Source organism: Homo sapiens, chromosome 6 (genome assembly GCF_000001405.40).
Source record: "Homo sapiens chromosome 6, GRCh38.p14 Primary Assembly".
NCBI lineage: Eukaryota > Metazoa > Chordata > Mammalia > Primates > Hominidae > Homo > Homo sapiens.
This window is the reverse complement of record NC_000006.12, coordinates 27,403,988-27,419,516: the sequence shown is the minus strand read 5'-3', so window position 1 is coordinate 27,419,516 and position 15,529 is coordinate 27,403,988. Positions and strand designations below refer to the sequence as shown.

Below are 15,529 nucleotides of genomic sequence, written 5' to 3'. Positions count from 1 at the left end.
ATAGATATGTACCCTGCAGGGAAAGTATACAGAATCACAAAACAAGGTCTGAATTAGGATCTTCAAATCTTAGGAAGATAATGAATATCTCTAAAAAAGTGGTAGGCAACTCTGGGTGTGGTGGCTCACACCTGTAATCCCAGCACTTTGGGAGTCCAAGGTGGGTGGATCACTTGAGGTCAGGAGTTTGAAACCAGCCTGGCCAATATGGCGAAACCCTGTCTCTACTGAAAAATAGAAAGAAATTCGCCAAGGTGGTAGTGCAGGCCTGTAATCCCAGCTAATTGGGAGGCTGAGACAGGAGAATAGCTTGAACCTCTGGGAGGCAGAGGTTGCAGTGAGCCGAGATTGTGCCACTGCACTACAGCCTGGGCAACAGAGCAGAGTGAGACTGTCTCAAAATAAATAAATATATACTAAAATTAAAATTTAAAAAGTGGTTGGAAAAATTAGCCGTGAATATAGAAAAAAAAGTTCATCGCCTTACTCAATTAACAAGATAAATATCAGATGGATTAAAGGTTCTAAGTGTGAAGAAACAAACTTAAAATATATTTTAAAATATAGGACACTAGATTTACATTTTTGGGGTAGGGAAGACACCATGAGACCAAAAAAAATAAAAATACTCATGAATTAAAAGTTGAAAACACTCATGACTACATTAAAATTTAGCACCTTTGTATACAAAATGACAGAAGCCAAATTAAAGCATATATTACAGACTGTGAAGAGAATGTGGAGCAAATAAAGGCATAATACCCAGACTATATAAGTAATGTTTATAAATCAATTTTAAAAAGGCACATAACCAAATAGCAAAAAGAATACAAAATATAAATTAAAATTCAGAAAAGAAAAAAATCTGCAGTAAATTTATACCATGATGTGCAACTCCCTAGGGTCAGAAAAATGCAAGTTAAAATTACAATGAAATACCATTTTCCCTATTAGGCAGAAAAAATTAAAATTATTGTCAATATCAAATGTGAACAAGTATGGAGGAAAACAGGCACAAATACATACTGTAAGTCGAATACAAATTTACCTAATCAATGAATTGAAATAAAAATGAAAAGTTGAATGTGCCAATCTCAGGACAAAATATATTAAACAAATGGAGATGGTCATCATGGAGCCAAAAACCCTGGAACTCAAGGACTGGGATCTGCCAGGTCCTATCCAGGGCTGGAGAGATGTGGAGTCCACCCAGGAGCATATTAGTCACTAGCAACGTGCACTGTGTTATGGCACGGGGACACATAAACATGCCCCTGTGGCCTGAATAGGCTCTCCCTCATGACTACCTTTTCCCTGGCCTCTGACTCAAGGATCAACAAGCAGTCTTCTCTCTGACACCTTAAAACATGGAACCCATGAATTATTTCACTGGAAAGATACAGCCTCCATTAGCATTCAGCAAAATATATTTAGGAACTGTCTTTTGTGAGGTTTGCTATTGTGAGTTGTCCCCAAGAGACTCTGTAACATCAGTGCCCTGAAAAATACCCAGTTTCTGGACCTACGGGGCTGAGGTTCACAGCCCACGAAACTTGGTTTAGTTGGTCAGCCCCTGTCCATATGACACTAGTGAGGCATCTCCTATAGTGTCAACATGAAGCAAAATGAAAAGGTTGTAGATTGTGGAGTGCTCAGTACATATAAGTTGAATTAGTAAATTATTTTGTTTTACATAGCTGAAATTATACTACATACATAGTTTAGTGTTCAGGTTTTCTATTTAACAATATTCTTATGAGCATTTTCTCACTTCACCATTAAAGCCCTGCTTGTCTGGAGGAAGTTGTCCTGCTTAGACTCTCAGAATCAGAATCGGCCTCAAGCAATGAAGTCCATCCAATCTCTTTATTTACACATGGGCAAATTGAGAACCAGAAAAGAAAGGATGTGTGCATGATTATATAGTTTGGCAAGCAGAGGCTGTCCTGGACTCTTCTCCAGGATTTCTCAAAGTTCTGAGCCAAGGTCAGAAAAAGAAGTGGAAAGCCAGTCTCCCTCCTCTGTCCAACACCAGTTTGGGAGGCAGTCTCATGAGACATGGGAATTCAGAAAATGGGGGATAAAAGTCCAACATCCCTGGAACCCTGAAAGGATTGAGGAAAAAAAAAAACCAGAATTGTCTAGAGAGAAAGGGAACGAGCAAGCAAATGAAAAATTAGGCTGAAATAGGGTTTTGATAAAGAGTTTAGGAAGGAGATAGGAAAAATGGGGATCAAAATCAGAAAGAGGTGTGAAAAAATATATTTTTTGACATTTTTGCTTTGCAATGTGCAGTAATTTCCTCTTAGAGTCACTTTGAAACTAGAAAATACTTATTTTTCAAAGCATTTTGGAAGTGTTTTTTTCTTTTTGCTATACTGCCTTAACTCTTTCATGACCCCCAGAATTGGGATAGGCATGGACTAAATGCCTGGGGGATTGGTCTTCCCATTCTAACAAGGGGATGTTCCACTAGTTCAGTCTTAGGCAAATGAGAAGACAAAGTAACCCTCAGACACAGCAGGATAATGCAAAAAGCACTCTACTCAAGAGTCAAGGGACTAGATTTTGATAATTTGGGATTTTTCTATCTGTGTCATCTTGTTCAACTAAATCATCTCTCTAAACCTCAATATTATTATAAAATGGAATGATAATAACCCTACTGCAATAGGATGCTGTGAGGCTTAAATAAGACAAATTCATAACAAAATTACTTTAAAAATTCCAAAGTGCTATGTAAATGTGAATAATGAAACTCTTATAGCAGGGGTCAGTGAGATCCAAATAAGAGAAAGAGTTGTCTAGGGTCACCCTGGGAATGACTGGCAAAGGCTGACACTCAGCTCTCCTAAAATACCCAATGATATTTGAAGGACCTGATGCCTTTTGAATATTGTCCCATGATTGGGAAAAATAAGGGGAGGAGAGATTCAAACAGAGACGTATACTTATCCTCATACCCGAAACTAAAGGCAAGTCCTTCTCATGGTTGTTAGGATATTGTCATGATACCAGAGAAGTGGGCAGTAGGCTTGTTCCACAGAAGATAGAAAGGACTAGGAAGCATGATGAGCCAAATCTGCCCTGGTAACAGATATCCATGCTAGATGATCTGCCTTTCAATTTAGGTTTATTCATTTTCCCAAGTCTACATAAGTAAACCTTACCCTCTATCCTTTTGGGTAATTGTTATAGACTAGAAATTATTCTAAACATATGCCATCTCTTAACTCAAAATTCTCTCACGATAGTCCTATCAGGCAGCCATCACCATTCTCATTTTATAGACAAGGAAACTAGGACACTGTTATATGTTTTATTGTGTCCTCCCCAAAAGATGGTGAAAATAGACTTTGCAGATAATCAGGTTAAGATGAGGTCATTAGGATGGGCCCTAATCCAGTATGACTCATCCTTTAAAAGGGAAAATTTGGACACAGAAAGAGACAAGTAAAGAGGCAAGATAATGTGAAGATACGGGGAGAATGCCATCTACAAGCAAAATAATGACTGACACTACCAGAAACTAGGAGAGAGGTCTGGAACAGATTCTCCCTCAGAGCCATCAGCAGGAAGCATCCCTAATGGCACCTTCATTAGGGACTTCTAGTTTCCAGAACTGTGAGACAATACATTTCTGTTGTTTAAGCCACCCAGTTTGTGGTACTTTGTTATGGCAGCCCTAGCAAACTAGTACAGACACAGAAAGATTAAATAACTTGCCTGAGGTCACACTGCCAATATATGACAGAACCAGGATTCCAACTTCAGAGCCCACTTTTTCAACCGCTATAATGTCTTGACTCATTTTACATGATAAGAGAAGCCTGGAACAGCTTTTTAGTCCCTGTATTTCAAAGGAAGTAATGGGATTTCTGAGGTAAGAAACGTTCCAAAACATAAAGTATATGGTAGACCTTGGCAACCTGAGACTAACTCCATGTTACAGTCAGTCTCTTTAATTCCTTATTGCATCCAAGAAAAACCTCCTCTCCTCATATACTAAACTCTTATACCAATAATTCTCAAACTCATGTCCTTAGAACACTGAAGTTCCTAAAGTTAGAGAAAAGCATTTTTTTCTTGAAAGTTCCAACAGTGTCAGTCTTTTCCAGTAACAGAAATATAATTACAGAAGGTTTTCTACATTAAAATTTTTCTTTGATAATTTTTTTTTTACTAAAATGTGGCTAGCTGAAAACCAAGATAGAGAAAAATAGAGTATCATATAACCTTTCTAAGCAACGATTACTCATTAGAAGCATAAAGTTGATGTCTGACTCAGGACTTATGTAAGAGTCCTTTTCTCTTTGGGCTTCCTGAACCAACTGTAGAGTAGCTCAGCCCACCAACAGCCCCCACTGAGTTATAGCCAGCTCATCAATAGCCTGAGATTACAACCAGCCCATTGTATACTCATTACAGATGGTTACTGCTCATTACAGACTTTTCCTGTCATTTCATATTCCTCTCAAAATATCCCTGTGAGGTAGGAAGGGAAGATACTTTTAACAACATTTTACATTTTAGGAAACAGCCTCAAAGAGATTAAATGATTTGCCCAGGGTCACATACTATCATGAGGCGTGAGCCCATGGGTGTTTTAGGTAATTTTCCTGTACCTTACTCACTTCCAAAGGGTAAAGGCCAGGAGAGATCATTTAAAGTTGCATTTAGATAACACTATTGTTTGCTAACCTCCCTTCCTGCTTTTGGGGAACTCTCACTTGTGTCTCACTGAAGGGGGAGATAATAAAATCTTTAAAAAGTATAGAGTATATACTATGAAGAAAAATAAAGCAAGATAGGATACAAAACACCAATGGGATATGTATCATAATTTTAAATAGGGTAACAAGAAACAGCTTATTAAAAAGGTGTCATAGAAGGTGAGAGAAAGAAAGAGCCATCTGGATATCTGAGCAAAAGCCCTGCAAGCAGAAGGAATAGCGTATGTGAAAGTTCTGTGGCAAGAGTGGCCTGGTATGTTTAAGAATAACAAAGAGGCCAGTGTGGCTAGAGTAAAGTGAAAGAGAATAGAGCAATAGGAGATTAGACTCAAGAGGTCATGAAGGACCACACTATGTGGGGCCTTGTAGGTCACCGTAAGGACTTTGGCTTTTACTATGAGTGAGAGGAAAAGCTACCGGAAGATTCTGAGTAGGAGCAGCATGATTTAACGAACAATTAAAAAGGATTCTTCTGGCTACTGTGTTGAAAATAGGCTGTATGAGCGATGGGGGTGGTTAAAAGGGACAAGGATGAAAACAAAGAGATAAGTTAGGCAATAGTCTAGCAGAGATATGGTAGCAGCTTAGTTCAGGGTGAAAATGGTGGCAAATGGTTTGATTCTAGAACAATTTTGAAGTAAAGCCAACAGGATTTGCTGATGGTTTAGATATTTTTAATTTTGGTTTCCACATGTTCATTGTTCAATGAGTAATTTTAGACTATGAAGTTGTGAGGAAATTATCAATGATGGCACCAGGCTTATCAGAGAAGATGCATAGTGAACAAGATTATTAGAAAGTAGTTCTTGAGATCTCAAATCTCCAGCTCCCCAGCAGGAAGCCAATGCTCTGAAGGATCCATTGAGTTCAGCTAATGCAGTTCTACTCCAGGATCTGAATAGAAAAGGTGAGAGTCAAATGGAAGAAAGGTCCAGTTTCAAACCCTAAACTTAGCATGGATCCACATCCAGACCCAGGGCTACCTTTGTTTCTTCCAAATTTCCCAAACAGAAGATGTAAGTCAAGTTATGTTTTATTTACAAAATGAAGGGTATACCAGGAATTACTGTTAATTTTGTTAAGTATGATAGTAGCATTTTGGTTAGGTAAGAAATTGTCCATGGTTTTTAGAAATGCATAATGAAATATGTAGGAATGAAACTACATGATGTCTCAGTTTTATTTAAAATATCAAAAGAATAAAATGAAGAAAAAAGGGACAAATAAAACAAATGTGGCAAAATTTTGATAGCTGTTAAACCTGAACAATGAGCATAGAGGAGTCCATTTTACTAGTCTCTCTAATTTTGTGTATGTTTTAAATTTGTCATAATTAAAAATGAGTGAACATTATGTTTTATCAATTTAAATATTTCTGAGAGAATATTAAAATGAATTTGACTGGTTTTATAATCTGAGATAAAAATTAAAGCTTTTCCCCAAACCATAAAAGGTATGGATTTAACTGTCTTGAGTTCCCTCAAACTCATTTTCTTAAATCTGTTTTTTTTTCTTTCTTTCTTTGAGACAGAGTTTCACTCTTGTTGCCCAGGCTGGAGTGCAATGGCACGATCTCTGGCTCACGACAACCTCCACCTCCCAGGTTCAAGTGATTCTCCTGCCTCAGCCTCCTGAGTAGCTGGGATTACAGGCATGTGCCACCACGCCTGGCTAATTTTGTATTTTTAGTAGAGACAGGGTTTCTCCATAGTAGAGACAGGGTTTCTCCATGTTGGTCAGGATGGTCTCGAACTCCCAACTTCAGGTGATCTGCCTGCCTCGGCCTCCCAAAGTGCTGGGATTACAGGCATGAGCCACCACGCCTAGCCTCTTAAATCTTATTATCCTATGATTATACTTTCTATCTCCTTCATATCCTTTGCCATATAATTTTTATTTATTTATTTTCAGAGACAGGGTCTTGCTCTGTCACTCAGACTGGAGTACAGTGGCATAAACATAGCTCACTGAAGCCTCAAACTTCTGGGCTCAAGTGATTCTCTCACCATGTATGACCTGGAAGCCCCTGCCTTTCCCAACCAAACCAATGTACATCTTTCATGTATTGATTGATGTCTTATGTCTTTCTAAAACGTATAAAGCCAAGCTATGGGCACATGTTCTTAGGATGTCCTGGGGCTGTGTCACAGGCCATGGTCACTCATATTTGGCTTAGGATAAATCTCTTCAAATATTTTAGAGTTTGACTCTTTTCGTCAATATTTACAATATTTACTGACTTATGGAGTGGCTTATGCCTGTGTGCCCATAGCTCTGACTACAGAGTGAAGGGGAAGTACTAAGGAGAATTGCCACCTTGGGAACTGCATGTAGCTCATGACTTTTGTGACTGGAATAGCATTAGTAAAAGCCTGACATTGTGGAAAGACACACATGCATGGACCTGGTTGTCTCTAACCCTACACTGCTCCTGACAGTAGGGAAGGCGTGCTGACCCAACTGGCCCAGCTCTCTGCTCTGAGCATTTGCTTCACCTCGCTGATGGTGGCCTGGGGCAACTCCTACCAACTGTGGAACCGTGTGGCCCTGAGCGTGCAACCTCGCAGACTATGTTTCCTAGGAGATGCTGGCCAGTTCCAGGACACCAAGCTCTTCTTGCTCTTGGCTGATCTTATTTTAAATACCGCCCCACCCAACACCCACGGCTCCACCCAAAAGCTGTCAAATGGAGTTTGTGGCAGTTGCCGGCCCTCATCTTCTAGGAGTGCCCACAGCCACCATGTTGCGGTGGTCCCAGCCAGCCTACTGGGGGCGTGACGGGCCAGGAGCACGTCCAGAGAGTAGTGCCCAGAGGCTCCTCATCCACCCCGCAGTATTAGCTGTCATGCCCCTCCTCACCTACTGGGATTCCCACCAAGGGATGGGCTAGGGGCCCTGGGCAAGTGAGGAGGGAGGGCGGCTGGCCTCCACAGGGGCCTTTCTCTTCCTCCACCTGCTGGCTGACAGAAAAGTAAGGGCCCATGCCAAGCACCTAGATATAGCCTCCTTGTAAAACAGGAGATTATTTTGAAGATGTTCTACTTAAATGTGAGAGCCAAGTCACAGTAATTTGGGCCACATTAAAAGACCCTTAATTTCTTCTCAAAATAGGTCTGACTTCTCTGGATCACTGTTACCCTCGGGCCTTCTATCCGGACTTCCTCACTGCAAACCCCAAAGTTTCTGGTTCTACTTATTGACTTTGTATTAAAGATATAGGCTATTTTCATCAGACATTCAACCTACATTATGCTTTGTGTTCATGACTGCTGAGTATATGTCAGAAATCCCCCTCTGCACACCCTAATAGCTTACATGTAAGTTAAGTAACAATACCACTTTAAGGAATGTAGCCACTGGTCCCTTGCCCGTATCTAGTCACCAGTTTCACTGGATCTTTCTTTTTCTGTTTGCTTTCGGAACATCCCCAAAATTCGTATATTGAAACTTAATCCCCATTGTGGTGGTGTAGGAGGTGGGGTCTTTGGGAAGTGATTAAATCATGAGAACTCATTCCTCATGAATGGTTAGTGCCTCATAAAAGGCCTGGAGTTTTAAGCCTCTTTTGCCCTTCCGTCACTTCCCCTATGTGAGGCCATATAGCATTTGTCCCCTCTGGAGGTTGTGCAACAAGGCACCATCTTGAAAGCACACAGAAGCCCTCTCCAAATACCAACCGGTCTGGTGCCTTGACATTGGACTTCTAGCCCCCAGAACTGTGAGAAAAAAATTTCTTTATAAATTACTCCACACAAGTTTTTGTTGTAGTAGCACAAAGACACCAGTTTCCTCATCTGTCCACTTCTGTTTCCCAATACCGCTGTTTTAAGAACCCCAGCTTCCCACCTAGTTTCTGCCTACCATCTCTCATTTCTGAACCATACAGTCTCTTCTACCAGATTAATCTTCACCCTCAAGCCAGACTTAACCACCATGATCAAAAACCTCCCATAGCTGGGGGCAGTGGCTCATGCCTGTAATCCCGACAATTTGGGAGGCCAAGGCAGGTGGATCACCTGAGGTCAGGAGTTTGAGACCAGCCTGGGCAACATGCTGAAACCCCGTCTCTACTAAAAATACAAAAATTAGCCGGGCGTGGTGGTGCGCACCTGTGGTCTCAGCTACTCGGGAAGCTGAGGAGGGAGAATCACTTGAACCCGGGAAGGGGAGGTTGCAGTGAGCTGAGATCGCACCACTGCACTCCAGCCTGGGTGACAGAGAAAGGCTCTGTCTAAAAAAAGAACCTCCCATAATTCCTTTATTGCTTAAAAGATGAAATCCAAATGCAACCTAATACTAAAGGCTGCCATCATGTAGCTATGAAATTCCAAATCACCAATTTCTTTTCAACGAACCCTCTGCCATAAGCAAGTCAGTTCACCTACTTAAACTGAGAACATTTTCCCACCTCTCTGACTTTCCTTACACAGTTCCCTTTCTTTCTCAGATCTGCTAGGATCCAGCTTAAGAGATCCAGTACTGGAGTCGGCAGAACTGGAGTAAAATCCTGGTCCCTGTGTAAGTCATTCAACATCTGTATATTTTAATTTCCTCTTCCCATAATGTGGTGAATTAAATTACAGTCATGTCACTTAATGAAAGCAGTATGTTCTGAAAAGTGCATCATTAGGTAATTTTGTCCTTGTAACATCATAGAGTATACTTTCACAAACCTACATGGTATAGCCAACTACACACCTAGACTATATGGCATAGTCTCTTTCTTCTAGGCTACAAACCTGTACATCACGTTACTGTACTGAATACTAGAGGCAATTGTAATACAATGGTAAATATTTGTGTATCATAATATATCTAAACATAGAAAAGGTATAGTAAAAATTCAGTATAAAACATTTTAAAATGGCACACATATATGGGGCACTTCCTGTGAATAGAGCTTATAGGACTGGAAGTTGCTCTAGGTATCAGTGAATGAGTAGTGAGTGAATATGAAGGCCTAGGATATTATAGTTCATCTCATGAAGACTACACTACTGTAGACTTTATAAACACTGTACATTAGGCTGCACTAAATTTATTTTTAACGTATTTTTCTTCAATAATTAATCTTAACTTACTATAACTTTTTTTTTGTTTCATCATTTTTATTGGTCATATATCCAGAATTCATTACATAAATCTTTCAGAATAATGAGATATTACAAGAATAGTTTACAAGTTAGCTCTGACTGTACAAATACTTGACACTTGGTCATTTTTACAAATATATATATTTTTTGTTTGTTCGTTTGTTTTGTGTTTTTTTTTTTTTTTTTTTTTTTGAGACGGAGTCTCACTCTGTCGCCCAGGCTGGAGTGCAGTGGTGCGATCTCGGCTCACTGCAAGCTCCACCTCCCAGGTTCATGCCATTCTCCTGCCTCAGCCTCCTGAGTAGCTGGGTCTACAGGCGCCCGCCACCACGCCCGGCTAATTTTTTGTATTTTTAGTAGAGACAGGGTTTCACCATGTTAGCCAGGATGGTCTCGATCTCCTCACCTTGTGATCCGCCCGCCTCGGCCTCCCAAAGCGCTGGGATTACAGGCATGAGCCACCTGCGCTCAGCCATGTTTTCTTATAAGAATACTTTAAGAAAGAAAATAAGTCTCTATCTATCTTATAGCAAATTTTATGCAGTCTCTTTTTCCCATTCGATCATCCTTTCAGCATGTCCATCACATCCAATAAACCAAATTACCATCTGTTACTTCTTCTCATTTTCACATACTATTAAGATTCACACTGTTAAAAGATTTTTAGGGTTCCTTTTCTAATCTTTCCTGATTTGAAAAGAATCCATGTATTCAGGCTAAAAGAGGTAATTTAAACAATATTCCTCCTGAATAGAACTTCTATCAGGTTAATCATTGTTTGGTGAATTATCTTTTCACTTCCTACTTAGGCTAGGCTAGTTGGTAGTTTTACCCCTGCTGATAAAGTCCTGACATTCCTAAAAGTTCCTAAACTGCAAAAAAGGAAACCCTAGAAACAAGAGTGAAATAGAAATATAAAGAAAGCTAAAATACTATTGATTAGAAAACATTTAAATTCAAGATCTCTCCCAGGTTGAAGACGACAGAAAAGTAATAAAGTATAAGGATATGGCAGTAAGTTGTATAAAATACTGAAAATCTGAAAAAGATTAATCACTTAAGCTAGCAGTGTATCATTTCCAAAATGCTAGAGGGCTGGAGGATACAGAATCTTAGACTCTGTGGCTAGGCTGAACTCAATATTTGATATTCTTCTTATGCTGTGTCTTTGAAATAGTCTAATAAATATCCATTTGCCCAGAGCAAGTAGTCTTTTAGGACAGGGGAACTTTAGAGAATACTGACCATGTTTAACTGAAGAGATAGGAACCACCAGGGCAAATATTTGGCATTCACTCCACTCCTTCACTGTTACTGAAAAACGTCCAATTGGCAAAGCCTGTTGTTTTACTTTTAAGGTAACATGAATTAAAATTAAGAAACTAGCAGTATTCTACTACAGTGAAGCTCCTGAGTTCTCAGCTCCAATTATTCAATATTCTTGAAAGGATGCTTTAAAAAGCAAGCCCTTGTCCAATAAGGTATTTAATAGTGCTTAGGGACTATTAGATGTCCCATTTCTCCTCTCTTTCATTTCTCTTGATCCCTTCTCACCCCAGTGTAACAAACTGCTACAGGTTTTTACCAAAATGCTGCAGCAGTAGTTAGAAATGAGTTAATTTGCATTATCAAAGTATTCAATCACATTATCCCAGGTCACATTTGCATATAACCAAGAGATGAACAAATAACATCTACTGCAGTGATTTTGCAAATTCAGCATAGTCAATGTATCCATCATTGTTCTTGTCATCATCTCTCAAAACACCATCTCTTATGTTAATCAGCTCATCTTCACTCATTAGTGGTGCCTGTTCACTCCCTTTCTCCTTATAGATATGAGTGATGGCTGTGGAGATTTCTAAACCATCAAGCAAATAATTGCCATCATAATCGTGCATTTTGAAGTAATGGAGCTGCAAATCTTGTAGTGACATCTCCGCCTCTGGTTTGTTGATGACATCTTCTGTAAGGTACATGGATGTGTTTGGGTCAAGGAATAGGCCAAGGTGGACATCCAGGCTTGCATGACTCAGCAAGTTTGGCGTGCAGGCACACACCTCCACTTGTTATATAACCTGTTTGTGTAAGTTCATACTTGGCTCTGAGCCACTATTGTCTGTAAAAGGTATAATTGTCCTGCTGACACTGTGCATAGGGCTTAGCTTGACATGGCTCTTGTGCAGGCGCTGCTGCCCAGAGAGAGAGTGAAGCTACTGGCCCCTGTAAGGAAGAATGACCAACTGGCAGATGGGCAGGGGGAGCCGGGAACCAGCTCGTGCCCATAGAGAGAAAGAGTTAAGCTGCTAACTCTGAAGGCAAGGAAGAGCCAGCCCTGCAGCTGTGTGTGGGAGCAGCTGGCTCAAGCAGCCGAGACAGGGTGGACAGTGTGAGAGACCTGGTGTAAGTGAGCTATGTGAGTAAGCTGATGATGAGAGCTGCTGCTGAACAAAATCATCTTTCACCTGCCTACGTCCCCCACAAGTGTTCTGTTATCTATTTGCCCAGGGACCCACTCCCTTGTACCTCAGCATGGGCTGGACCCGAACCCTAAACCTAACAACTGGCAATGAGAATGGGATGAGGTGAGTAGGTCTTCAGCCCCTGAGGGTTCCTGGGTTGGCTATGTGGCTGCAGCATGGGCTGTGGTAGCCAGTGGCAGCTGTGCTGCGAGGATGGGCTTCAGTGGAAACATGGGAGGCAGTGGATGGGTCCCCCGCAAGTGTGGAGAAGGCGCTGAAGCACCTGGAAATGCACAGCACTGAGATGCAGCATGCTTTTACCGCCAGTCAGATGGATGTTTGTGACTTTGCTGCAGGAAGTGCCTGCCCAGTCCCTGAGGGATGCACACAGGGAGGAAGAACCTCCGTTACAGGTTCACCCAATGGTCTGCCAGAAAATAGAGCATGAGCAGCTGTTGGGCCCCAAGGGTGGGCCAGAGACCCCCTACTGTGGTGGAGCACACTTCCTATGTTGTCTGTGCCCCTGCTAAGTTGTAGGAGTTAAGCAAGTAATGTTGGCACTCTTGTACAGACTTGGTGCAAGTCATTTGGGAGAAGGATGTTGCTGCGCAACCTGGTCCTGCCAGAGTGTTCCAGTTCAAAGAGTACCTGCTGCAGTTGGTGGAAGTATAAAGCATTTTCTGTTTGATAAGAGAACTGGCCAAGGTGCCCGGCTTGGTAGGGGATACCAGACAACCAAAGGCCATATATGGACTTGGCAATCCACTGGTCCCTGGACCCGGATAAGTTTCCAGGGAAGGCTGCATAGACAGCTATGAAAGCTGGTCAGTGAAAGTGAAACCTGTGTCTTTGCACCTGGGCATCAGCTGCTTGGCTCTCCACTTATGCACTGTGTATGTCTCTTGCATGCCTGAGGACATTCTTGGGGGTGGATGTTTTGCAAGACTTGGCAGCTGTGCCACCTGTCATGGACTTGATGGACCGTTTGACAACAGAACTGGGATGGTGCCACTGTGTGGTGGACTTGACCAATGCATTCTTCTCAATCAGCATTGCTCCAGAGAGCCAGGAACAGTTTGCCTTCATGGGAGGGCGACAATGGACTTTCATAGTGTTGCTGCAGGGCTATATGTATAGCCCCATTATATATCATTTTCTTATTAATGATGTTATGTTAACCTCTAGTTCTTTTGCTGGTTTGGAGGCCACAACACCCCTCTTGCCTGGGATTGGGATGATGAGGCTGAAACAGCCCTTCTGATGACATAAGCCCTCTGGGTGGTTAACCAGGGTGCCCATTTAAACTAGATGTGCATGTAACCACCAATAGAGTTGGCTAGGGCCTATGGCAGTATATGGAGTGCTTGGAAGCGCCAGTCAGCTTTTAGTCCCAGCTATGGAAGGGAGCTGAGCCCCAGTGTTCATTAATAAAGAAGCAGTTAGTAACCATATATGCTGCCCTTCAGGTTCATAAGAGCGTGGCTGGATGGGTTACAGTCGTGTGGATGGCTTACCCCATAGTGGGATGGGTGCGTTCATGAGCAATGACCCCCCCAGACTGGGACAGCACAGACATCCACTTTAGCGAAGTGGGGCACCTACTTAGAGCAGTGGAGTACGCTAAGTATAAGTCCCTTAGCAGCAGAGTTGCAAGAGGTCTTGGAACCTGTAGTCCTAATGCAAGATAAGGCCATGGGGCCTGGGGCACCCCTAGACCCCGAGCCTTCACTGTTAGAAAGGGTGTTCTTCCATTCCTAATAGGACATGGTACACAGCTATGTCTAGTTGGGGTGCCACTGCTGCCTGGACTGCTGGTGCAGTCCAGCCTAGTACTGACACCATATGGTTTGAAACCAGGTGTAGACAGCGGGGCAGTCAGGATTATCAATATCACTGTTTTACAGCTTCACATCTTAGCTGACTGGAAAGCCTTCCAGGAGCAGTAATATGCATGGAGCTGTCATCTCCTATGATAACAATGCCTTCTTCTGGAATACCTTCTGTAGGATCTGCCTGAGGCTGTTTTACAGTTAACTTTTTTTAAATAAGTAGAAGTACACTCTAAAATATTAAATTGGTGCAAAAGTAATTGCCGTTTTTGCCATTGCAGTTACTTTTGCACCAACCTAATAACAATAAAAAGTAAGGTAAATACACAAACCAGTGATATAGTACTTTCCTATCAGGTATTATATAGTGCTATTTTTTTTTTTTGAGACCGAGTCTCACTCTTTACCCAGAATGCAGGCAGTGGCATGATCTTGGCTCACGACAACCTCTGCCTCTCGGATTCAACCGATTCTTGTGCCTCAGCCTCCCAAGTAGCTGGGAATATAGGTGTGAGCCACCACGCCTGGCTAATTTTTGTATTTTTAGTAGAGACAGGGTTTCATCATGTTGGCCAGGCTGGTCTTGAACTCCTGACCTCAGGTGATCCACCCGCCTTGGCCTCCCAAAGTGCTGGGATTACAAGCGTGAGCCACCACACTAGGCCTTTAGTGCTATACTTTTATATGATTGGCAGTGCAGTAAGTTTGTTTACACCAGTATCACCACAAACATATAATTGTGCTATGATGTCACTAGTTAATAGGCATTTTCCAGCTCCATTATAATCTTATGTGATCACTGTCATTTCTGCAGTCCATTATTGACCAAAATGTCCTTGTGTGGTTCATAACTGTACTCAAATATCTACAAAGAGAGTTTCTTCTGGTACCCAGTAAATATTTCATTACTTAATATACTCTCCCCCCTGCTCCTGCGAACCTCACTCCATCCTAAGAACAATCTTCGCATCTGCCTTTCTGGACTTTCTGCTATGAACTAAATATTTATTCACCAGAGAAACTGCTGTATACTAGGTGTTATGAAATATAATTTTTTTTATATCAAAGACATTGTATAATTACATGAAGACCAATGGAGTAATTCATCTTAATTCTAAGTATTAGAAAAGCTTTGTTTTCCTTGAAGAATGGACATATTTTTTTCCTTCTAAAACAATGTAAGCAAATGACCTTCTCATTTTGGTTGCCAGAATGCTCAGTTTGTATCCCTAACTGACTGCCTGTGTAGGTTATCATAACTTGTCCTGATCTCCTAGTGCTCATTTGTATGTGTTGTTTTCTATTTTACTGTATCTTGTTCGCCATCTTGAGTCATTTTTTTACACACAATGGAGTTATAATAAAATAGCTATTGCCTATTATGATAAAAGAAATACCTTCTAGCTTATTTG

General features: G+C 41.3%; 1 protein-coding gene and 1 pseudogene across 2 annotated transcripts in view; one reads left to right on the top strand and one right to left on the bottom strand.

Annotated features, from left to right (window-relative positions):
- Positions 1–15,511, top strand: part of ZNF184 (zinc finger protein 184) — a 69,100-nt gene extending 53,589 nt beyond the window's left edge. Inside the window, exons 6-9 of one of the 2 annotated variants that reach the window (NR_144688.2) lie at positions 9,181–9,251; positions 11,663–11,799; positions 12,335–12,411; positions 12,860–15,511. The gene's annotated coding sequence lies outside the window, so the exon portion shown is untranslated. Of the gene's footprint in view, positions 1–9,180; positions 9,252–11,662; positions 11,800–12,334; positions 12,412–12,644 lie in introns of both variants that reach the window. The other variant, NR_144687.2, reaches the window with a different exon arrangement.
- MCFD2P1 (multiple coagulation factor deficiency 2 pseudogene 1) lies at positions 9,826–11,820 on the bottom strand (annotated as a pseudogene).